A 23,947-nucleotide genomic window follows, 5' to 3' on the forward strand; every position below is an offset into this window, starting at 1 on the left:
TGCTACTTAATAACAGAAGATGTTAAACATTTATTATTACACTCAATAAAAAATGAAGAGTATTAACAATAAACTAAGTTTTACACCAGTGCAAACAAACCTTAGGTGGATATCAAATATGAAATGCTTCCCAAAGGAAACAGAGACTCTATTCATAAAACTGACAAGGAAGATTTTTTTTTTTAAGTAGCGGAATTGAGAAAAACCATCAGTATCACCCCAGGAATGGACTAAAGATCTGGAAGGGTTCTTTCACCATTAAAACTTCTTTTCAGTCAACTCTGAATCAAACGCATTCACCCATTCCATATTTACTCAGCAAAGTTTTATTGATTGCCTGTAAGAAATATACACTGTGCTAGTGTATTTTATTAGTAAATATCACAAAGAAGTTATATTGGGCAATCTTTAAAATTGATGAAAAGCCTAGGGACAGATCTTCCTGGGTAAAAGAGGCCTCACACTGAGTATAAATGTGCCCGAATGCTGATATTTTAACAGTTTAAGATCAATACAATCGTAGGACAACAATGACCTAAGCAAGTCATTCATTCATTAATTCATTTCGTCTTCATTCATTCAACACACATGCTTGAGTGCCTACTAGGTGCCATAGGCACATACCAGGTAGATACTGGCATACAAAGGTGCCTAAACATGGCCCTTGCCTTCAAGGAGCTTCCACTCTTGTAAAAGAAGACCCTTGTGTAAGCTAATAAGACTAAAACAAGTGCTCTGAGAGAAATTCAAAAAGGAAAACATCTAAGATGCTTGTAATCCAGTTCTAGAGATAGAAACCAATGACATGTAATGTAAAATTTAGTTTTTATTTTATTTTATTTTGTTTTATTTTTGAGACAGAGTTTTGCTTTTGTTGCCCAGGTTGGAGTGCAGTGGCATGATCTCAGCTCACTGCAACCTCCGCCTCCTGGGTTCAAGTGATTCTCCTGCCTCAGCCTCCCAAGAAGCTGGGATTACAGGTGTGTACCACTATGTCCAGCTAATTTTTGTATTTTTAGTAGAAATGGAGTTTCACTATGTTGGCCAGGCTGGTCTCAAACTCCTGACCTCAGGTGATTCACCCGCCTCGGCCTCCCAAAGTGCTAGGATTACAGGAATGAGCCACCATGCCTGGCAAAATTTAGTTTTAAAACAAATATTTAAGGATTGATTGATCCAAGTGATTGATTTACCCAAACTCTCAGTGATCTTGGAGGCTAGTCACTTATTCCAACAAGAATGCAAGTCCAGAAATGATTTACAGAATGAGGGAGTTTTTGTTTTTTTTTTTTTTTTTTTTTTGCCTGATGGTACTAGCTTGATTTTTGGCTAAAAGATAACACTGCTCAACTTGATCGCCTACCTTAATTATCTGTTTTACTGTTTCAAATATCCAATCTATCCTGAAAAAGCAAAGTTATGCCCCCATTGAAGAAATTCAAAAGAATGCGTGTGTCAGTTTTCAAAGGGAGTATCTAAAGAATTTCAAAAATGCTTCAAGTGATAGCAGCAGTAATATGGTTTGGCTATGTCCCTGCCAAAATCTCATCTTGAATTGTAGTTCCAATAATCCCCATGTATCATGGGAGGGACCAGGTGGAGATAACTGAATCATGAGGGTGGTTCCCTCATCCTGTTCTTGTGATCGTGAGTCAGTTCTCACGAGATCTGATGGTTTTATAAGGGGCTTCCCCATTCACTGGGCACTCATTCTCTCTCCTGCTGCCCTGTGGAAGAGGTGCTTTTCTCCATGATTGTAAGTTTCCTGAGGCCTCCCCAGCCATGTGGAACTGAGTCAATTAAACCTCTTTTCTTTATAAATTACCCAGTCTCGGGTATTTCTTCATAGCAGTGTGAGAACAAACTAATACAAGCAGCATTCAAATAAGTGATTACTTTGAAAAAGAGAACATTCATTTGGATGGATAAGTGCTGGTATAACAGATTTAAAATGACTGTTCACTTTTGCTGTTTGCTACTTGCATAAACCTGAGAGAAGAACTAACAATGGAAGGCATTGGTAATTACCCAATGGCTGCCACAGCCTGTGTGTTTCTTAAGTGTTCAGAGAAGAGGCTGGGTGCCGTGACTCACACCTATAATCCCAACACTTTGGTAGGCTGAGGTGGGTGGATTGATTGAGCCCAGAAGTTTGAGACCAGCCTGGGCAAAATGGTGCAACCCCATCTCTACAAAAAATACAAAAAAAAAAAAAAAAAAAAAAAAAAGAGTTTAGAGAAGAATTAGGGAGAGAAGGGCTGGCCGAAGAGGGAGGTCACATATAAAAGGGATTGATGAGGTTTTGATAGAATCAATAGTCTAAACTTGCTGTTATGGTTTTATTTAGATGAAATGTAAGTAAATTTGGTAAGTACCAAGTTAGAAGCAGAGCTTAGAATTTACCCCATTAAATTAGACTATCCTAATAGAAAGTAACTATATAATTTTTTTCTGGAATTTCCAATAAGAGGACCAAAATCATTCTTGGACTACTTGCCTACAACCCCTCTTAGTGGCAACTATGACCTAGATGATTCAACAAGATCTGAGTCTGTGATGGCTAATTTTACATGTCAACTTGACTGGGCCACGGTGCCCAGATCTTTGGTCAACAGTCATTCTGAATATTTCTGTGAGGGTGTTTTTGGATGGGGTTAACATTTAGATCATGGACTTTGAATAAAGCAGATTGCCCTCTCTGATGTGGGTGGACCTCATGTAATCAGTTGAAGGATGAACTAGAACAACACATTGGCTTCCCCCAGCAAGAGTGAATTCTGCCAACACTCAGTCTTCAGACTCAAGCTGCAACATCAACTCTTCCCTGTGTCTCCAGCCTGCTGTCCTACCCCACAGATTTTGGACTTGTCACAATTGTGTGAGACAATTCCTTAAAAGAAATCTCTATTTTATTTTTTAAATAAGGATGCTCGAATCAAAGCATTGCATACTGCATAGTAATAGAAAGTCTTTTGTCCAAATGTAAGAGTGAAGGCAGAGAAGCTTCACTTCGTTATCTTTGTATCCAAAGTAATTGGCAAGGTGGCAGATTGTCTGTGACCTCTTCTGGGCTTTTGGCAGTGGCCACCTGTCAGTTCTTTTACCCGTTCTTCATTAGCTTGCTCTTTGAATTTTTGCCTTCAACTCTTTCCTCTCTCCCTCTCATTCGGGAGATGACCTTGCCTGTCATATGACCTGGAGCAGTGCTTCTCAAACTGGAATGTTCCTAGGAATCCTCCGGAGATCTTGATAGAGTGCAGATCTTGATTTAGCAGCTTTGGGTGGGGCCTGAACTTCTGCATTTCTAACAAGGTGCTGCTGAGGTTACCGGAGCACAGCAAGGTTCTAGAGCTGTCCGTCTCAAACTCTGTGAATCACCTGGGATCTTGTTAGAAATGCAGCAGCTCAGGCTCCGCCTGACTTCCTGAGTCTGAATCTGTGTGCTCACACAAGCCCAGGGGCAGATATGCACACTCAGATTGGGGAGCGGCTCTCCAGCACACCCATCTTCTCCAGGCCTGGACCCCATCTGCTCTCTCCTGTAGCTTCAAGCTCTATCTTTCTGCTCCTGACCCTTGGCCTAGGAATTTGGTTACTCCTCCCCTGTTTCAAGTAATAACTCTCTCTACCTGAGCCCCTCCTCCTCCCCTGGCTAGAGGTTTTCTTCTCTGTTATAGTTCAAACCTGAGTGTTCTATATTTGCTATCTCTTCACCCTTACCACCCATCCCAGTCTTTACTACTTCACATCATGTTCTCTATGTGTGTGTTTGTGTGTGTGTGCGCGCACATGCACGGACCTGCATGCGCAGGTGCGTGTGTGCATGCAAAAATAAATTGTCACAAATTTTTTGTTTTTTGTTTTTGGAGATGGGGTTTTTCTCTTGTCACCCAGGCTGGAGTGCAGTGGCACCACTACAGCTCACTGCAGCCTCAAACTCATGGGCTTAATTGATCCTCCCACCTCAGCTTCCCAAGTAGCTGGGACTACACATATGCATCACCTTGCCTAATTTTTTCATTTTTTGTAGAAACGGGGTCTCCCTATGTTGTCCAGGCTTGTCTCAAACTTCTAGGCTCAAAGGATCCTCTTGCCTTGGACTCCCAAAGTATTGGGATTACAAGCATGAGCCACCTCGCTTGGCTGTAATCACTTCAACTGAAAACAACCAATTAACATTTAACCCATTCAATACAACTATTCTCAATTGTTTTGGATCAATTTGAAACTCTGCTAAAGAGATATCAGTAACCTAAATTAGTAACCTAGATGCTTTAATTTCTGAATGATTAACTTACTCTGGCAGAATGTTGTGGAATTTTGCCTCTCCTCCTTCTGGAATGAGAGGCCAGGATTTACTTAAACTTCCAACCTGGCCCCTGCACTGCATTGTTTAACCCAAGCATGCTCAGGTGAAGTCCAAGCTTCTCAGGATGGCCTGCAGGGCCTTCCACCCCAGCCGGCTCTCAGTTTCCCCTGACACACTTTACAATATGGCAATATTAAACTACTAAAGGTCTTGGGACTACACACAGTGTTCCATGCCTCTGGGCCCTTGCGTTACTTTGTGTCACCTGTCACCTCCCCCTATTCACCTGGTTGACTCCAAGCATCCTTGAGGACCCAGCTCAGGCACCTCCTTTTCTAGGAAGTTGTTCACTATAATAATCAGGGTGTTGCCCCGATGCCATCATACAGCTCATATTCAGTGCACAGTCAGTATTTGTTGAGGGAGAGAAGAAAGCAGGGGGGAAATACTCTACTTAATCATTTAGAAGGGTTGCCTCAGGCAACCAGAATTCAAAGGCAGGAATAGTGCTATACCGCTAGCCATAAAATGGACCCACGCAAAAATACACTTTGAAGTAGAAAGACTATAAAAGGAATGAAGATCAGAATAGCAACAAGAGCAATATCTTAGATTTGTGTGATTTTACAATTTATAAATTATTGTTAGAACTCATCATGTTTACAGCACAGTGAGGTGGGTGCTGGTATTCTCATTTACAGATAAGGAGACCAGGGATCAGGGAAGGATTTGCTTACCCCTAAGGGCCTGCAGTGACAGAAAGATCCTTTGGCTCTCTATTTGGTTCCTACCGCACCATTTCACAGCTTGCCTAAAATGAGACAAATTGTAAGATATTAATAAGAATTCACTTTCAAAATTCTATATACTTGCTGCTCTATTTTAAACATATATTTCTCTTAAATTATGCTATGCTAATTAGCTCTACCATTTCCAGACAGTAATCTGTTATTGGGTGCTACTTTTTAAATTTAGATGCCACTACTAAATCCTAATTTAGACTCATTCCTTTTAATAACATCTATGCCTTCTAATGTGTTCCACCCTCCATTGCTTCAAAACATGAGAGTTTATAATGTGTTATATTCATTCCATTATATGGATAGAACTCTACCTTCAGGAAATTCTAGTTTAGCTCTTCATTTTAAAGACATTCCTTGCACATATATTTGGGATCCTTACCTTGATGCTTTTTCTGTCTCCTTTGATAAATTCCTCCTTTGTCACACTGCACTGTTTCTCTGAGGTCTTGTATTAGAATAGCCCCTTAAGAATAAGGAACTGTTGTAAATTGCTTTGTAAACAGGTTGCCAGCCAACTCCAAAATGTATTTCCTGTCTTCTCTTTTCACCCAAGTGGGTAATAACTGTGTTGTAACCTGGAGACAGTCAGTAGTTACTAACCACCTAGTATGTCAAATTACCAGGTAAGGTTATCCAGCAAAAGGGGCTCACTGCACTAGAAGCCAACACTATGACACCAAGTTTTTGAGAAAAGGAAAGCTTCACATTGCAAGTTAACTTCTGAGGAAACAAAAGTCCAGTTCAAATCTGTCTTGTACTGGCTTTAGGGCAGTAATTTTATTACAAAAGGTTTAGGGTTGGATCCTGGGGTTAGCAGGTGATTGGTGGAAGCAAAGGGAACATCTGGGAAGTCTTCAGGCATGCATGGCTCTCTCTTCATGCTTCCTGGTGGGTCCCATGTGCAAATTTGGAGGGAGTTGGTATGAAACATGCAGTAGAAATTCAGGCTGTGACATCAGCAAGCTTGCTGTGCGCAAACTGCATTTGGCCATATTGATTCCGGCTGATTTCAGTCAGTTTTGTTATAAGCAGAGGGAGTTTCAGCAAATTGTTTCTTTTCTTATCTGCCCCTGAAAACAAGAATTTCTGTTAGTTATTGGTGTCTTTGACTCTTTGAAACAGTTTCAGTAGTTCCCAAGATATGAAGATAAAAGACCCCCTTCATCAGTGAAAACTCTTACAAGGGGATGAAAGACACAGCTTCCTCTATGAGAGCACAAGAACAATTAAATTGACCCTCACAAACACTATGGTTGGTGCCAGGAACGTGGCCTGGTGAGGAGGACAGTGTCACATCCTCCCTGCCCACTCCTGTTTCCACGCGTGCATTTCCTCTTCTGCCCCTCTCCTAAGCCAGGATGACCCTTCTGACCGCGTGGAACTATCACAGAAACTGCTTCCATTTATACCAGATGACTTGGGATTCAGTCTTCTTGCTTGGTTTTTATTGACTGCAAAAATCCATGACAACTTTGCGCACATTTGCTTAAGCTGAAAGCAAATGGATGAAAGTTTGTAGTTGAAAATCTACTTTCTCTTCAATCTCTTCCCTTTTTGCTTTTCTTAGGAAACATACAAGACAGTGGTCCGGAAAGCTCACTGCAAGAACTGTACAAATAATGTAAAAGTAAGGCATCCATAAGATCAAAGCCACATTTCTTTGCTCTCTGCACCCCATTCCCGCGCCGGCCAGGTTAAGCCTCCTGCGTGGCCAGCACCCCTTGGCAGGGGCAGAACTCCCTGGAACCCGATCCTTGTCTCCATGGCGACGCGTCACAAAGCAGCCCGCGGCTCCCGCAAGCGCTGAGATAGCTGGAGCCAGGGCCCCGCGGCCGCCTCCTGGGGCAGAATGGAACAGCCTGGGCCCAGGGCTCCGGATCCCTCTCTCTGCCACCACAACCTCCAGCCAAGTAAGACAGCAGACTCTGCCGGTCTGCGGGGCGGGGCTGGGGTCTTTCCCGGGGAAAGGGTCCTGTTGAGAAAAAGGGGCCTTAGTATTTAAGGGTGTGGCATCGCTCTTAGGAGTATGCTCAACTGAGGAAAAGACGGGGAGTCAGGGAGAATGACAGGGCCTTCATGACGCTGCCCCTTTTCAGTCCTTCGCATAACCTTTGCCAAATCCCCGCTCCCTAAAACGCGCAGGGTTTTTAAACACTCGAGGAAGTGCCTGGCTAAGAGGGGACAGGAAAAAAGGAAGAACTGGTGATTTTCCAAGGAAAACAGGGCCAAAGGCAAAGAAGAAAGAGAAGTCCTGGAAGCTCTGAAGAGAACAGGTCCTGCCTGAGTCCCGATCCCCATATAGGATCTTGGAAACAGCAAGGAAAGTGGGGGAAGGGTTGGCTGCTGAATGGAGTCCCAGCTGTGTCTGCAGAGGCAGACGCCCTCCCTGGGCTGTCGCACCAGGCTGGGAGCCATGGCCTTCAGCTGCCGCCTCTAACCTGAATTGATTTTTCTTCCACAGAGATTTTGTATTTCACAGAGGTAGTGCTTTTCATCCTAATTCTGCCCACAGATGCAGCAGGTTCACCAGTTCAGCCTTTTGGGTCTGTGGAGGGAGAACCACTCTAGCTGTGACGCTAGTGGCATGATTACCGTGTAGTCAGCTCCATCATAGTCTCTTGTGGCAATAATTGGCCATTGCTGCTGTATAGTTGGGTAACTGTGATTCCACAGTGGCTATGGAGCAGTGAAGGATTGTTCAAGTACAAATTCCCTAGAATTGTGCTCCCAAAAGAGTGAATGAAATGCATATTTTCATTCCAATTCATTCCGTTGTAAATTAAGAATGGAAAATGAAAATACTTAATTAGTGCAGAAAATATCTAATACACTCAGTTTCTATATGATGGGAAGGCAAACAGGAGAGACAGAGGAGGGAGGATCCCCTCCTAGCATCCCGACAGCACCCCTTTGGATGCTTCTCTTCCCTTTCTAACCACCCTGTTTTCCCACTGTCTCCCCATTTCATCCCCTTCTTGTCTGGGAACTGTTGGAGTCCCCCAGGATTGATCCTTCTAGGCTTACCTTCTCTTTGTGACCATATCCTGCACAGGGCTTCAAGTGCTGCATAAAGGTGCCAACAACTCTCTAACCTTTATCTCTGACTTGGACTTTCTTCCTACTTTTTCAGACCAGAATATCTAACTGTCTACCAGACAGTTCCATGTGGGTGTCACAGCAGGGCCTCCAACTTGACATGTGCAAAATCACACTCCTTGTCCTCCTCAAACCTTCCAGACTTTGAGAGTTCAGTTAAGAGGGTCCTAGCTGCTCAATTTAGAAGGGAAGGCAGCTTCCTTGAGACTGCAGTTTGATCACCAGGTCTCTTTGATTCTGCCTCCAAAGCTCTTTTTCCCCCAGGTGAATTCGCCCCTTTACCTCCAGGCTTGGGCCTCTAATGGCTACTCTGTGCCACTTCATTCCCCACTGCTGGGAGAGTCACCCTCCAAATGGTAGGCTTGATGTGTCCCCACTGCCCAGGTTTGGTCCGAAATAGGATGAGGTTGATGGTGACTGATGACTAACTGTTATTGAATAATTACTACAGATGGGGCTCTCAGGTGTTGTATTAGTTTCCTGTGGCTGCTATGTGTTCCCACAGACTGGTGGATTCAAACAACAAAAATGTATTTGCTCACAGCTCTGAAGGTCGAGAGCCTGAAATCAAGGTCTGGACAAGTCTGCACTCCCTCTACAGGCCCTAGGGGAGAAGTGGTCCTTACGTCTTCCAGCTTCAGGTAGCCATCGGCACTGCTAGTGATGGCAGTGGCTGCTGCCATCATGCTGGCTGCAGCAGGGAAGCACAGCTGGGGCTGCAACACTCCATGGAGCCCGTGGGAGCTGCCCCTTCTGAGTTGGGATGGGAGCTCCCTGTGCCGCTACAGCCGCCCAAACTGCAGCTACAGACCCAGGCCTCCTGCTCTATGGAGCAAGCAGGAGCCCTGCAGTCCTGGGCGAGGCTACAGCCACCCAAACTGCGGCTGTGGGTCTGAGCCTCCCTGTGCCTCTGAGCCTCCCTGTGGAACCCACGGCTGCAGACCTGGGCCTTTCACTCCATGAAGCAGGCAGGAGCCAGGGACAAGTGGGAGCTTTGCCTCTTCCAAGTTGGTGGGGCAAGAGCTCCCTGGTGCAGCTGCAGCTGCCCTCCCAGGCACAGGACCTGGGCATCTCTGCAGCCTGCACCCTTGGACTCCCCAGGAAGGACACCCTTCACCCATCCATCCCTGCAGGCTCAGGGGTATCTGATCCCACTGCCAGGCAATACCCCACCCACATCCCTGCAGGCTAAAGGGTATCTGCTCCCACTGCCTGGCCTCTCTCCACTGGCTCTGATCTCAGAGTGGGGTTGGGACCAAGCCCCAGGGCTGTGAATGGCAGCAGGAGGCAGACAGAGTCCTGGGTGGAAGGGGCTGGGGTCCCCAGTAAGGCCCCACCCTCTGACCAGGGAGGGCCTGAAGTCTGGGGACCAGGCTGCCAGTCAGGAATCTGAGTGGGGACTCATGCTGCCTCCTCCAGCCTGCGCATGGCCACCCATGGACCAATCAGCATGCACTTCCTTCCCTCTGAAGTCCATAAAAACCCTGGGCTCAGCCAGAGCAGGGAAGAGGACAGCAGCCAGAGAATGAAGAGGGCAGGGAGAGACAAGGGAACCCCCCGCTGTAGAGGAGTATGCTCTCTGCTGATAGCTGGAGATGATGGGGCAACTAGCTGCAGAAAGGAAGGAGTACCCTCTCGACTGCCGACAGACAGGAGCTACGCTCTCTGCTGAGAGCTTCAGAGACCTGCAGAGATCTCTGAATGACTTGCCTATGGAGAGGAGCTACGCTGCCTAGGGCCTCCTCTCTACTGACAGCTGAACACTTGACCGGATGACCTGCCTACAGAGAGAAGCTACCCACTCCTCCGAGCTGTTCTAACACTAAAACTCTTCTTCACTCTTCACTTGTCTGTGTACCTCAATGCGGGACAAAAACTCTGGCAAAGGCACTGCAGCCACAGAGTTTTCCAGCCAGAAAAATCAACACCCCAGAGATCCTGTAATGCTAGCTTGTGGCCTCATTACTCCAGGTCTCTGTCTCTGTCTTATAAGCACACTTGTAATTGCATTTAGGGTACACGAGGATAATCCAGGATGATTTCCTAATCTCGAAATCTTTAATTGCGTGTGCAAAGACCCCTTTTCCCAATAAAGTAAGATTCACAGGTTTTGGGGATTAGGACATGGAAATATCTTTTTTGTAGTGTCACCATGTGGCACACTACAAGCAACTTACATATATCAATACCTTGAATCCTCAAAACAAAGTGAGGGAATAAAATAATATATGTGAAAATATTTTGTAAAGTATAATAGAATATACATGTTACTACTTTATAATATTTTTTAAGCTTTATATTTTCCTAATGGTGAACACATCCAGTGGATTGTCAAGGTTAGCAGAATGAGGCTTTAGGATGCTTTGCTGACCTGTCATTAGCCATCTTTCCCTTTGCTCCATTCACATGGGGCTATTTGTTGTGTCTCATCTCAGACTCTCATACCTCATGCTACTTCCTCTGTAAATTGTTTTACTTCATGTCCTGTGCTTCTCTTTCAAACATCTACTAAATTAAATCACAGCTCAGATGCCACCTATGCTATGATGACCCCTGGGCCTGCCCTTGCTGCCGCATCTTCTCATCCAAGCAAAAAGAATTGCACCCTCTTCATGTTCCCTGTGACACATAGGACATCAGCACCACATTAAACTTGTGCTCATAGGATACATAGCTCATCTCTTGGCCTGTGAGTTCTCCAAGGCCAGGTCAAGACTCTGTGTCCCAGTGCTCCACAGGGCTGGGTCCACGGGAGGGCTTGGGGACTTCTTTGAAGGAGGAACAGAAAATGAGAGAAGAAAGAATTAGGAAGACGTAATCACAGGAAAGATGGATATGAGCTACACAAAAGGACATTGAGATACTGAGAAGAAAGTAGTGACTTGCAGAGAACATACTAGGAACAGATTTTCAGAATATTGTGATTACAGATTTCTCAATGAACATTTCTGTTAATGAAGAAAATTAATTCCAATGGCATACTGTACTTTCAGAAGCTTTGTCAATGGAGGTAAAAAGCATAGAAATACAGCCCTTACAAAAAGAGTTGTAGTAAGGGAAATCATTAACATGAAATTAAAGGAAGATGTACCAAAGATCAAGTGTGCATCCAAGCAGGTTAGGATTAGGGAGTGGAGGGTGTGCCTGATCTGTACAAAGGTAACAATGGAAGAGGGAGGCTCTCATGGCCTCAGTTCCTGGAAACAGTAAGGCATGCTGCTCTTGTCCGTCAGACTCCTGATCCAGGCACCTGGCAATTGGTGACCCCAGCTGCCAAACTATCTTCAGAAGGGATAGGACCCTAGATGGGCGGGAACACAGAGGGGCGTGTCGTGCTTGCCCACATGATTGATTGGGAGGTGCTGCCTGGAGTGCTGTTCTGCCAGGCTTTTTGAGGCATATCTGAGCCTAATAGAAATGTGATCTGGACTGTTAGAGTTGTTTGCCTTAGAAAAAACAGGGAAAATTTATGTGTGGCTTTTGTGCAGAATATCCTTCCTGATTGTTCCGAAAGTCCAATGCCGAAGTTCAAATCAGGTTAGAGAAGGCTTCTTTTACGAGTGGCATGCCTCACAATTTCTTCCCTTTTACTTGTTCATACTTGTAATTCTTTTAACAAAGAACATTGAATTCTGCTATTGGGATAAAATGCTTTCAAGCATAAAGCGATGCCCACTAAAGAAGGAGTATTGGAGAATGATGTCATTTCTTGTAGAGCAGGATTAGAGAGCAGACACTAGGAGTGCATAGAAGCACAGTTACAGAGTGGGGAATACAAGGGGCTAAGGCTTCAGTTATCTGACTAAGGGGCTCTTAAGTGGAGGTAGAACTTCAGCCAGGGTTAAGGGCACAGGTAATAGTTGCAGATGATCAGATCCTGATTGGAAATGAGAGTCTGTTAAATTATAAACAAGACTTGATTGGGATAGATGAGGAGATGAACATTAAGAGGTTCACAGATAACAGGAACCATAAATATTTGGCCAGAGCTCCCTATGCTAAGCAGTAGCATATAGCTTTTCAAAATATTGGGAAATTGAAGAAAAATACTTAATAGCAATTGTAATAGGACACATGAAGGGGAACAAATACAGGCAATGAGGTGGCTACAGTATTCTAGGGATGAAGGGATACATCCTAGAGAACATTGTGTATTCAAAAAGTAGAGATGTTCAACCAAGGTTCTCATGACATATATAAAGCAGCAGGTAACCACCCAGATATGAAGAGTGAGAGAATGACTGAATTTTAAATTTAAAATGTATATTCCTGAGAAATTTGGTGGTACTTCGTTGACAATGGGAAGTTGGGGCAAATAAACAGTGTTGTTGCTGGTATCTACCTGTCTTAGTCCATTTTCTGTTGTTGTTGTAACAGAATACTACATACTGGGTAATTTATAAGGAAAAGAAAACTACTTTAGCTGATGGTTCTAGAGGATGGAAAGTCCAAGAGCATGGCACTGGCATTGGGTGAGGGCCTATTAGCTGCATTGTAACATGGTGGAGGGCATTGCATGGTGATAGGGCAAGAATGTGCTAGCCCAGGTCTCTCATCCTCTTTTTATAAAGCCACCAGTCCCATCAAGGGGACCCCTCTCTGATTACCTCATCTAATCTTAATTACCTCTCAAAGGCCCCACCTGCAAATGCTATCAACATATACATTTGGGGATTAAGTTCCCAATACACAACATTTGGGGGACACATTCAAACAATAGCACTACCAGTGGTGAATTCTCAGCTGGCATCCTCCTGGAATCATCAGCAGTGTTTGACTCCCTTCTCTGGGACACTTTTTTTGACTTTCAGGATGCCACTGGCTCCTGGTTTCTTCATCACCTCTCTAACAGTTCTTTTCAGCCCCTTCACTGGCTCCTCCTTCTCTCTCCAAATTCTTGACATTGGAGTGTTCCAGGTCTCAGCCTTGGAACTTCTGCTCCAAGTCTACTCCCTCCTTCATTGATCTCCCCACTCTCATAGCTTTAAATGGCATCTACACCACAGAATTTTGCACAACCATTACAAGACATGAATTAGAACTACGCCAGATGACTTGGAGGAGTTTTCTATCACACACTGTTAGTGACAGATATAAGAAAAAGACACTCTGTGTCGTATGAGCCCACTTTTGTGAAACAAAATGTTGATAACTGAAACCCGATATGTCTATGTATAAATCAGCATGTGATTACCTCCACATGTATGCAAAGAAACAGGCAAAATTGTTAACATGTGCTGCCTGGGAGGAGGGATAGGAAGGAGAGTGGCAATGGCAGGGAAAGGAAGAAGTAAGGAGATGTCCATTATAAAACTTGATGTGTGTAATATGATCCTGTGTGTGTAAAGTCATTCCGTGTGTCTATAGGTACATCTAATATGATGCATGTAAAGTTGGTGACTAAAACATAATAGTAGGTCTCTTAAAATGATAGAGTTTCAGATGAATTACTTTCCTCTTTATATTTTTATGTCTGTCTTTAATTCTTTAAAATAGCATGCATGAATGCTCAGGAGAAACAGTAGAACTATCTTTTATTTTGGGGTGAAACAGATAAGTCGAACTTCCTCATTCCTATTAGAGGCTGTATTTTGGCCTTTATTCCTTAGACTCTAAAGATAAACCATCCAAAATGTTTTTTTCTCTTGCAAAATTATCTTAATTGTTAAAACAACATTTCTTCAAAATATTCTGGTTTGCCATATTTAAAACTGCTTTATTGTACTTTTAGCAGATGACCCCAACTGGGATTCCTATGCTACCACTATGAGGACTGCATTCACGCCTAAAACAGGAGCAGTGCCTGCCTTAATTCGGTAGATCATTATTTGTGTTGGATTGATATACATGTTTTAATTTGTTGACTTGTCTTTTATGACTCAGAATCCAAACACATAGACAGTAATTAGAGAAGCTTCGTAAAAATGCTCTTGGATACGGGCTACTGTGTGCACACCTCTGCTCCAAGCATCCGTGATACCCCTTCCCCTCAAACAGTATCCACACCTCCTATAGGGAAACCGAGAAAATGGCTACCAATTTTTCATAAAGTTCCTGTATATTGTGGTTTACAGCAGACCCAATATATAGGTTAATAAGGTTGTGCTACCTAAACATTCACGTGACTTGAATCCATTCCCTAATATAGAGTAGGCAGGCAATGACAATTGAGTGAATAGATGAATGGATGAATAAATACTTGTTATCATAGCATCACCAAGACTAGTCTTGGAAGATGGAAGAAGGCCACTGTCCCCCTCTTCTTACCTCCACTCCTCCAGATACTGCAATATTGGCTTCAGCTTCTCCTCCAATTCAACCTGAGCTGAGAGTAGTGGGAGTTTCTAAACATCAGCTGCCTTTTTTTTTTTTTTTTTTTTTTTTTTTTTGAGACAGAGTCTCGCTCTGTCGCCCAGGCTGGAGTGCAGTGGTACGATCTCGGCTCACTGCAAGCTCCGCCCCCTGGGTTCACGCCATTCTCCTGCCTCAGCCTCCCGAGTAGCTGGGACTACAGGCGCCCGCCACCACACCTGGCTAATTTTTTGTATTTTTAGTAGAGAGAGGGTTTCACTGTGTTAGCCAGGACGGTCTTGATCTCCTGACCTTGTGATCCGCCCGCCTCGGCCTTCCCAAGTGTTGGGATTACAGGCGTGAGCCACCACATCCGGCTGCCCCATCATCTTTTACTGTGTCACTGGTAGGTATGAAATCAGCATAGAGAGCCTTCAATTATCATCTTCATTCTGTGAATTGTGTCCAGTGAGAATCTTTTCACCTTAAGCCTGGACAACATGGTGAAACCCCTTCTCTACCTAAAATACAAAAATTAGCCGGGTGTGGTGGCAGGCACTTGTAATCCCAGCTACTCGGGAGGCAGAGGCACGAGAATTGCTTGAACTCCGGAGGTGGAGGTTGCAGTGAGCCGAGATCACACCACTGCACTCCAGCCTGTGTGACACAGCGAGGCTCTGTCTCAAAACAAACAAACAAACAAAAATTTCATCTTAAAAGCGTTCAAGATATTGAAAAGTGGAGTATTGGTAAGACCATGGCTATGGAGTTAGGCAGAAATGGCTTCTTAGCCCCCTGCTCTTACCCTTATTATCTCTGCTACCTTGCGCAAGTAACAAGCCATCTGGGGCTCAGTTTTGTCATTAGTGAAATGGGGACAATGATACCTGCCTAAAGTGGCTGTTCTGAGGACACAAAGCACTAGGACAGTGACTAACACAAAGAAGTTAGTCATTTTCATTCATTTTTCCCACCATAGTATGTGATAGATTTCCAAAAAGTACAAGGCTACAAGATTCCAGATTTCTGAGTTACTAGCTATCCCAGTGAGTCCGTAACTGGGAAATTTTATCATCTGACTGTAATGAAAGTGCCATCTATATAACTGTAACAGTAGCCTGAAGAAGAAATGTTTAGGATGAAAGCCAAAAACAAATAGATAACTTAGGGAGTCTAGGTCAGTGATGTTTGAATTTATATATTTATAAACTTCTCACAAAAGTTTCAGTATAAAAATTTTAACTTTTTTATTTCAATAGCTTTTGCGGTACAGGTGGTTTTTGGTTACATGGGTGCATTGCATAATGGTGAGATCTGAGATTTTAGGGTACCCGTAACTAAAGTAGTGTACATTGTACCCAATATGTAATTTTTTATTCCTCACCCACTGCCACCTCCCTCTCTGCTTCTGAGTCTCCATAGTCCATTATGTCATTCTGTATGCCTTTGGGTACCCATAGCTTAGTTCCCACTTATCAGTGAGAATGTATGGTATTTGGTTTTCCATTCCTGCATTCCTGAGTTACTTCGCTTAGAATAATGGCCTCCAGCTCCATCCAAGTTGCTGCGAAAGACATTATTTCATCTTTCTTATGGCTGTGTAATATTCCATGGTGTATATATATATACACACCACTTTTTTTAAACCACTCACTAATCAATGGGCCCTTAGGTTGGTTTTATATCTTTAAAATTGTGAATTGTGCTGTGGTAAACATACATGTACAGTTGTCTTTTTAATAAAATGACTCCTTTTCCTTTGGGTAGATACCTAGTGGTGGCATTGCTGGATCAAACGATAGATCTACTGTTAGTTCCTTAAGAAATATTCATACTGTTTTCCATAGAGGTTGTACTAATTTACATTCCCACCATCAGGGTATAAGTGTTCTCTTTTCACCACATCGTTGCCAGCATCTATTGGTTTTTTGACTTTTTAATAATTAAATTCAATAATATTTTTTGCAGGAGTGGGGTGGTATCTCATTGCAGTTTTCATTTGTATTTCCCTGATGATTAGCAATGTTGAGCATTGTTTTTCATATGTTTTTGGCCATTTGTATACCTTCTTTTGAGACATGGCTGTTCATGTCATTTACCAACATTTTGATAGGATTTTTTTCTTGGTGATTTCTTTGAGTTCCTTGTAGATTTGGGATGTTAGTCCTTTGTTAGCTTCACAGTTTGCAAATATTTTTCTCCTATTCTGTGGGTTGTCTGATTATTCTAATTATTCTTTTTGCTGTATAAAAGCATTTTAGTTAAATTAGGTCCCATTTATTTATTTATTTTTGTTGCATTTGCTTTTGGGGTCTTAATCATGAATTATTTGCCTAGGCCAATGTCCAGAAGAGTTTTTCCTAAGTTATCTCCTAGAATTTTTATGGTTTCCAGTCTTATATTTAAGTCTTTTATCTGTCTTGAGTTGATTTTTATAAGGTGAGAGATGCTAGCCAATTTTCCCGGCACCATTTATTAAATATGGTGTCCTTTCCCAAATTTATGTTTTTGTATGCTTTGTCAAAGATCACTTCATTGTCAGTATTTGGCTTTATTTCTGGGTTCTCTATTCTGTTCCATTGGTCAATGTGCCTACTTTATTTTTTAAACCAGTACCATGCTCTTTTGGTAACTATAGCCTTGTAGTATAATTTAAAGTCTAGTAATGTGATGCCTTCAGATTTATTCTTTTTACTTAGGATTGTTTTGGCTATTTGGGCTCTCTTTTGGTTCTGTATGAATTTTAGAATTGTTTTTTCTAATTCTGTGAAAAATGATGTTGGTATTTTGATAAGAATTGCATTGACTCTGTAGATTGCTTTGAGCAGTGTAGTCATTTTCATGATATTGATTCTTCTGATCCATGAAACACATCCATGGGATGTTTCCATTTGTTAGTGTTACCTATGATTTCTTTCAGTAGTGTTTTGTAGCTCTCCTTGTAGAGATATTTCACCTCCTCCTTGGTTAAGTATATTCCTGGGTATTTTATTTTTTGCAGCTGTTGTACAACGGATTGAGTTATTGATTTGATTCTCAGCTTGGTCATTGTTGTATATAGCAGTGCTACTGATTTGTGTACATTGATTTTGTAACTTGAGACTTTACAGAATTCATTTATCCAAACTCTAGGTATATGATCATATCATCAGCAAACAGCAATATTTTGACTTTCTCTTTTCAAATGTGGATACACTTTATTTCTTTCTCTTGCTTGATTGGTCTGGCTAGGACTTCCAGTACTATGTTGAATAGAAGTGGTGAAAGTGGGCATCCTTTTCTTGTTCCAGGCCTCAGAGGAAATGCTTTCAACTTTTCCCCATTTGGTGTAATGAAAACTGTGGTTTTGTCATAGATGGCTCTAATTTTTTTTAAGGTATATTCCTTAGACGTCTAGTTTGTTGAAGGTTTTTATCATAATGGGATGCTGGATTTTATTGAATGCTTTTACTGCATCTATTGAAATGATCATATGATTTTTGTTTTTTGATTCCGTTTATGTGATATATCATATTTGACATGCATATGTTAAAGCATGCCTGCATCCCTGGGATGAAACCCACTTGATTATTGCATATTATCTTTTCGATGTGCTATTGAATTCAGTTAGTATTTTGTTGAGGATTTTTGTATCAATGTTCATCAGGGATATTGGTCTGTAGTTTTCTACAGACCAGTATTCCTGGTTTTGGGTATCAGAGTGTTACTGGCTTCATAAAATGAGTCGGAGAGGATTCCCTCTTTCTCAATCTTTTGGAATAGTTTCAGTAGGATTGGCACCAATTCTTCTTTGAACATCTGATAGAATTCAGCTGTGAATCCATCTGGCCCTGGCTTTTTTTGAAGTCGACAGTTTTTTTTATTACTGACTCAATCTTACTGCGTGTTATTGGTCTGCTCAGGGTTTCTATTTCTTCCTGATTTAATCTAGGAGGCTTGTGTGTTTCCAAGAATTTATTCATTTCCTCTAGATTTTCTAGTTTGAGTGCATTGAGGTGCTCATAGTTGTCTTGAATGATCTTTCATAATTCTGTGGTGTCAGTTGAAATGTCTCTAGTTCCATTTCAAATTGAGTTTATTTGAATATTCTCTCTTCTTTTCTTGGTTAATCTAGTTTATGGTCTATCAATTTTACCTTTTCAAAGAACAAGCTTTTTGTTTCATTGATTTTTTTTTGCTGTTTAATTTCATTTTGTTCTTCTCCGATCTTATTTCTTTTCTTGTACTAGCTTTGGGTTTAGTTTGTTTTTGTTTCTCTAGTTCCTTGAAGTATGAAATTAGGTTGTCAATTTGTGATCTTTCAGACTTTTTGCTGTAGGCATTTAGTGCTATAAACTTTCCTCTTAGCACTGCTTTTACTGTATCCCAGAAGTTTTGATAACTTGTGTTACTATTATCATTTATTTTAAAGGGCTTTTTAATTTCCATCTTGATTTCACTGTTAACCCAAAAATCATGCAGGAGCAGATTGTTTAATTTCTATGTATTTGTATAGTTTTGAGAGTTCCTTTTGGAATTGATTTTTAGTTTCATTCCACTGTGATCTGAGAAGATACCTGACATGACTTTTATTGTTTAAAATTTATTGAGACTTGTTTTGTGGCCTATTGTATGGTCTATATTGAAGAATGTCCCATGTGCTGATGAGAAAAATGTATATTCTGCAATTCTTGGGTAGAACTTTTTGTAAATATTTGTTAGGTCCATTTGTTCTAGAGTGTAGTTTAAGTCCATTCTTTCTTTGTTGACTTTCTGTCTCAATGATCTGTCTAGTGCTGTCAATGGAGTGTTGGAGTCCCCAACTATTATTGTGTTGCTGTCTATCTCATTTCTTGGGTCTAGTAGTAAATATTTTATGAATCTGGGAGCTCCAGTGTTAGATGCATACAAATTTAGGATTGTAATATCTTCTTGTTGGATTAATCCTTTTATCATTATATAATGACTTTCTTTGTCTTTTTTTTTACTGTTGTTGCTTTAAAGTCTGTTTTATCTGATATAAGAATAGCTACTCCAGCTCGCTTTAGGTTTCCATTTGCATGCAATATCTTTTTCCACCCTTTTTCCTTGGGTTTATATGAATCCTTATGTTTTAGATCAGTCTCTTGAAGACAGCAGATATTCTGTGGTTTGTGGATTTTTTTTTAATCCATTCTGCCAATCTATTAAGTGGAGTATTTAGGCCATTTATGTTCAATGTTCATAGTGAGATGTGAGGTACTGTTCTAATCATCATGTTAATTGCTACCTAGATACTTTGTTTTTTTTCATTGTGTTATTGTTTTATAGGTCCTTTCAAGAGGTTCTATTCTGGTGTATATTGACCTTTTGTTTCAGGACTTAGAACTCCTTTTAGCATTTCTTGTAGGGCTGGTCTGGTAGTGACAAATTCCCTCAGCATTTGTTTGTCTGAAAATGACTTTATTTCCTCTTTGTTTATAAATCTTAGTTTTTCTGGATAAAAAATTCTAGGTTGAGAGTTATTCCCTTTAAGGCGGCTAAAGATAGGACCCCAATCCCTTCTGGTTTGTAAGGTTTCTGCTGAAAAGTCTGCTGTTAGTCTGATAGGTTTTTTTGTTTTGTTTTGCTTTTTAATAGGTTACCTGATGCTTTTGTCTCATTTGTCTCAAAATTATTTCCTTCACATTGACTTTAGACAGTCTGATGACTATAGGCGTTGGTAAAGTCCTTTTTGTGATGAATCTCCCAGGAGTTCTTTGAGCTTCTTGTATTTGGATATCTAAATTTCTAGCAAGCTCAGGAAAGTTTTCCTCAATTATTCCCTCAAATAATTTTTCCAAACTTTTTACTTACTCTTCTCCCTCAGAACACCAATTATTCTTAGATTTGGCCATTCTACATAATCCCATATTTCTTGGAGACTTTACTCATTTCTTTTTATTCTTTTTTCTTTATTTTTGTCTGGGTTAATTCAAAAGCCTTGTCTTCTAGCTCTAAAATTATTCTTCTACTTGTTCTAGTCTGTTAAAACTTTCCACTGCATTTCGTCATTCCCTAAATGTGTCTTTCATTTCTAGAAGTTCTGATTTTTTTTAAAATCTATTTCTTTAGAAAACTTTTTATTCATATCCTGAGTTGTTTCTTAATTTCTTTATGTTGGTTTTCACCTTCTTCCGGTATCTCTCTGAGTAGCTTAATAATCAACCTTTTGAATTCTTTATCTGATACTTCAAAGATTTCATTTTAGTTTAGATCCATTGCTGGAGAGCTAGTGTGATCTTTTGGGGATGTTATAGAACCTTGTTTTGTCATATTGCCAGAATTATTTTTCTGGTTCCTTCTCATTAGGGTAGACTATTTATTCTAATTATTCTTGAATTTATTTTTTATTTGATTTTTTAAAATTTCTTTTTTCCCCCTTAAGGATGTGACCTTAATGTTTACAGTTTATTACAGCCTAATTTGGCTCTTGGTGCTTTCAGGGGTGAAGTCTGCATAAGTTCCTTGGTTATAGAGAGTCTTTGTATGATGGCTTTGTCAAATGTCAACATAAATTTAAATAGCTGCAAAAGATTAAACTTCCTCCCCATCCTGCATATTGACATTTTAAAATAAAACTTTTCAATAAAACCAATGAATACTCTGAATGCTTTAGCAAATTAATACCTGCCATGATCTTTTAAATAAACACACAAATAAGTTCTATTTGATCATTTATTTCATTTCTTTCTCTTCTTGAACTCTCATTCCCACTCCACTTCCTCCATAGACTTTTTCCCTGCTGTGATATATTTTATGTTTGGAAGCAATTTATTGATCATGCTATTATACTTCTTTGCAACTATTTTAGTATATTAATTGAAATTAATTTTTAAACATGTTATATGACCCTAAGTACTGAGTTATCACAATTATTTTAGTACACAATCGCTCAAAGCAATAAATACATTATAAATGTTCATAATTATGAAATACAAAAAGAAAATTTTTTTGCAACTGCATCTTAATGAGATAAATGTGGCTGTTTAGTTTTCAATTAGTTCCTATATCTAGTTTTGAGCATTGTTATTTTCAGAATGAAACTGCACTCAGCATCAATTTTTTCTGCTTCTCTCTTTTTTCAATTTATAGATTTTAATGTTAAGAAACTTTGTTCATATATATATAGAAATAAGTAAGTGCAAATGAAAGGAGTTTTAGTATAGCAGTGTCACTCAGTACTCTGAACTGTTTCTGAATTATGTCCCAGAAATCACAATGTGATTTTTAATGACTGATCAGCTGACAACTTGGTTCGGTACTCCTTAAATTTTATTGAAAGCTATTAATAAGATGATTTGTCCTCCATTCTTTGAGTTATTCCCTGTCTCAGTTTCTGAGAATATATTGAAAAGGCATGTCTTAACAAATGACTATTAAATTGCACCTGTTACTCTTTCACTTGGAAGCAACTTGTTTAATTTTCTATGTTCAAAAAGGATTTGGAAAATCGAAACACTAATTTTAATAAATTTCTATAATACAAACTTTTTTTATTATTATACTTTAAGTTTTAGGGTACATGTGCACAATGTACAGGTTTGCTACATATGTATACATGTGCCGTGTTGGTGTGCTGCACCCATTAACTCGTCATTTAGCATTAGGTATATCTCGTAATGCTATCCCTCCCCTCTCCCCCCACCCCACAACTGTCCCTGGTGTGTGATGTTCCTCTTCCTGTGTCCATGTGTTCTCATTGTTCAATTCACACCCATGAGTGAGAACATGCGGTGTTTGGTTTTTTGTCCCTGTGATAGTTTGCTGAGAATGATGGTTTCCAGCTTCATCCCTGTCCCTACAAATGACATGAACTCATCATTTTTTATGGCTGTATAGTATTCCATGGTGTATATGTGTCACATTTTCTTAATCCAGTCTATCATTGTGGGACATTTGGGTTGGTTCCTAGTCTTTGCTATTGTGAATAGTGCCGCAATAAACATACGTGTGCATGTGTCTTTATAGCAGCATGATTTACAATCCTTTGGGTACATACCTAGTAATGGGATGGCTGGATCAAATGGTATTTCTAGTTCTAGATCCCTGAGGAATCGCCACACCAACTTCCACAATGGTTGAACTAGTTTATAGTCCCACCAACAGTGTAAAATTGTTCCTATTTGTCCACATCCTCTCCAGCACCTGTTGTTTCCTGACTTTTTAATGATTGCCATTCTAACTGGTGTGAGATGGTATCTCATTGTGGTTTTGATTTGCATTTCTCTGATGGCCAGTGATGGTGAGCATTTTTTCATGTGTTTTTTGGTCGCATAAATCTCTTCTTTTGAGAAGAGTCTGTTCATATCCTTTGCCCACTTGTTGATGGGGTTGTTTGTTTTTTTCTTGTAAATTTGTTTGAGTTCATTGTAGATTCTGGATATTAGCCCTTTGTCAGATGAGTAGGTTGCTAAAATTTTCTCCCATTCTGTAGGTTGCCTGTTCACTCTGATGGTGGTTTCTTTTGCTGTGCAGAAGCTCTTTAGTTTAATTAGATCCCATTTGTCAATTTTGGCTTTTGTTGCCATTGCTTTTGGTGTTTTAGACATGAAGTCCTTGGCCATGTCTATGTCCTGAATGGTATTGCCTAGGTTTTCTTCTAGAGTTTTTATGGTTTTAGGTCTAATATGTAAGTCTTTAATCCATCTTGAATTAATTTTTGTATAAGGTGTAAGGAAGGGATCCAGTTTCAGCTTTCTACATATGGCTAGCCAGTTTTCCCAGCACCATTTATTAAATAGGGAATCCTTTCCCCATTGCTTGTTTTTGTCAGGTTTGTCAAAGATCAGATAGCTGTAGATATGCGGCATTATTTCTGACGGCTCTGTTCTGTTCCATTGGTCTATATCTCTGTTTTGGTACCAGTACCATGGTGTTTTGGTTACTGTAGCCTTGTAGTATGGTTTGAAGTCAGGTGGTGTGATGCCTCAAGCTTTGACTTTCTTCACAGAATTGGAAAAAACTACTTTAAAGTTCATATGGAACCAAAAAAGAGCCCACATTGCCAGGTCAATCCTAAGCCAAAATACAGACTTTTTTGATAAAAGGCTTTTATCATATTTTGAATATATTTTTATCAAAATCTTGGAGCTGAACATTTAGCTTATCCGGTTTATACCATCTTTACCTAGTTGGTAAAATCAGTCCTTGTTGTTCAAATCAATAAGTAAAATCAGGTTTATTTCATGTCAAAATAAAATCTAGCTATACTTTCAATCCAAATAAATGTTAATATATATTTTGAGAATATTATAAAAACCACTGAAAAATAAATTATGGAATGCATATTATAGAGAAGACTATTAAAAGTAGACAAGGAAGTGTTAAAAGATTTGGGTCTGATATGATTAATTATATCCAAGTAACTTATACATTTAGCTACACATTTTATTGCATTATATCCAAAAATAATGCAATAAAATGTGTAGCTAAATGTATAAGTTGTTTG

At 40.4% G+C, this 23,947-nt stretch overlaps 1 protein-coding gene and 1 long non-coding RNA gene across 17 annotated transcripts in view; one reads left to right on the forward strand and one right to left on the reverse strand.

Moving 5' to 3' along the window:
• The window catches only part of TEX26-AS1 (TEX26 antisense RNA 1), a 49,774-nt gene extending 42,920 nt beyond the window's left edge, over nucleotides 1–6,854 (reverse strand). Inside the window, exons 1-3 of one of the 2 annotated variants that reach the window (NR_038288.1) lie at nucleotides 6,522–6,854; nucleotides 5,492–6,182; nucleotides 4,918–5,120 (exon numbers count right to left, since the gene is read on the reverse strand). This is a non-coding gene — a long non-coding RNA (TEX26 antisense RNA 1). Of the gene's footprint in view, nucleotides 1–4,917; nucleotides 5,121–5,491 lie in introns of those variants that run through there. The other variant, NR_038287.1, reaches the window with a different exon arrangement.
• A 47-nt stretch (nucleotides 6,855–6,901) lies between these two features.
• TEX26 (testis expressed 26) overlaps nucleotides 6,902–23,947 on the forward strand; it is a 42,845-nt gene continuing 25,799 nt past the window's right edge. For 9 of the 15 annotated variants that reach the window (XR_001749479.3, XR_941493.4, NM_152325.3 and 6 more), the window contains exons 1-2: nucleotides 6,902–7,022; nucleotides 13,940–14,024. Coding sequence is in view for 8 of the 15 variants with exons in the window: in NM_152325.3 (NP_689538.1) it covers nucleotides 6,962–7,022; nucleotides 13,940–14,024 (146 nt within the window). In the remaining 7 variants the exon portion in view is untranslated. Of the gene's footprint in view, nucleotides 7,023–8,713; nucleotides 8,850–13,939; nucleotides 14,025–23,947 lie in introns of all 15 variants that reach the window. The other 6 variants (NR_148425.2, NM_001353388.2, NM_001353389.2 and 3 more) reach the window with 3 other exon arrangements.

Source organism: Homo sapiens, chromosome 13, assembly GCF_000001405.40.
Source record: "Homo sapiens chromosome 13, GRCh38.p14 Primary Assembly".
Classification (NCBI taxonomy): Eukaryota; Metazoa; Chordata; class Mammalia; order Primates; family Hominidae; genus Homo; species Homo sapiens.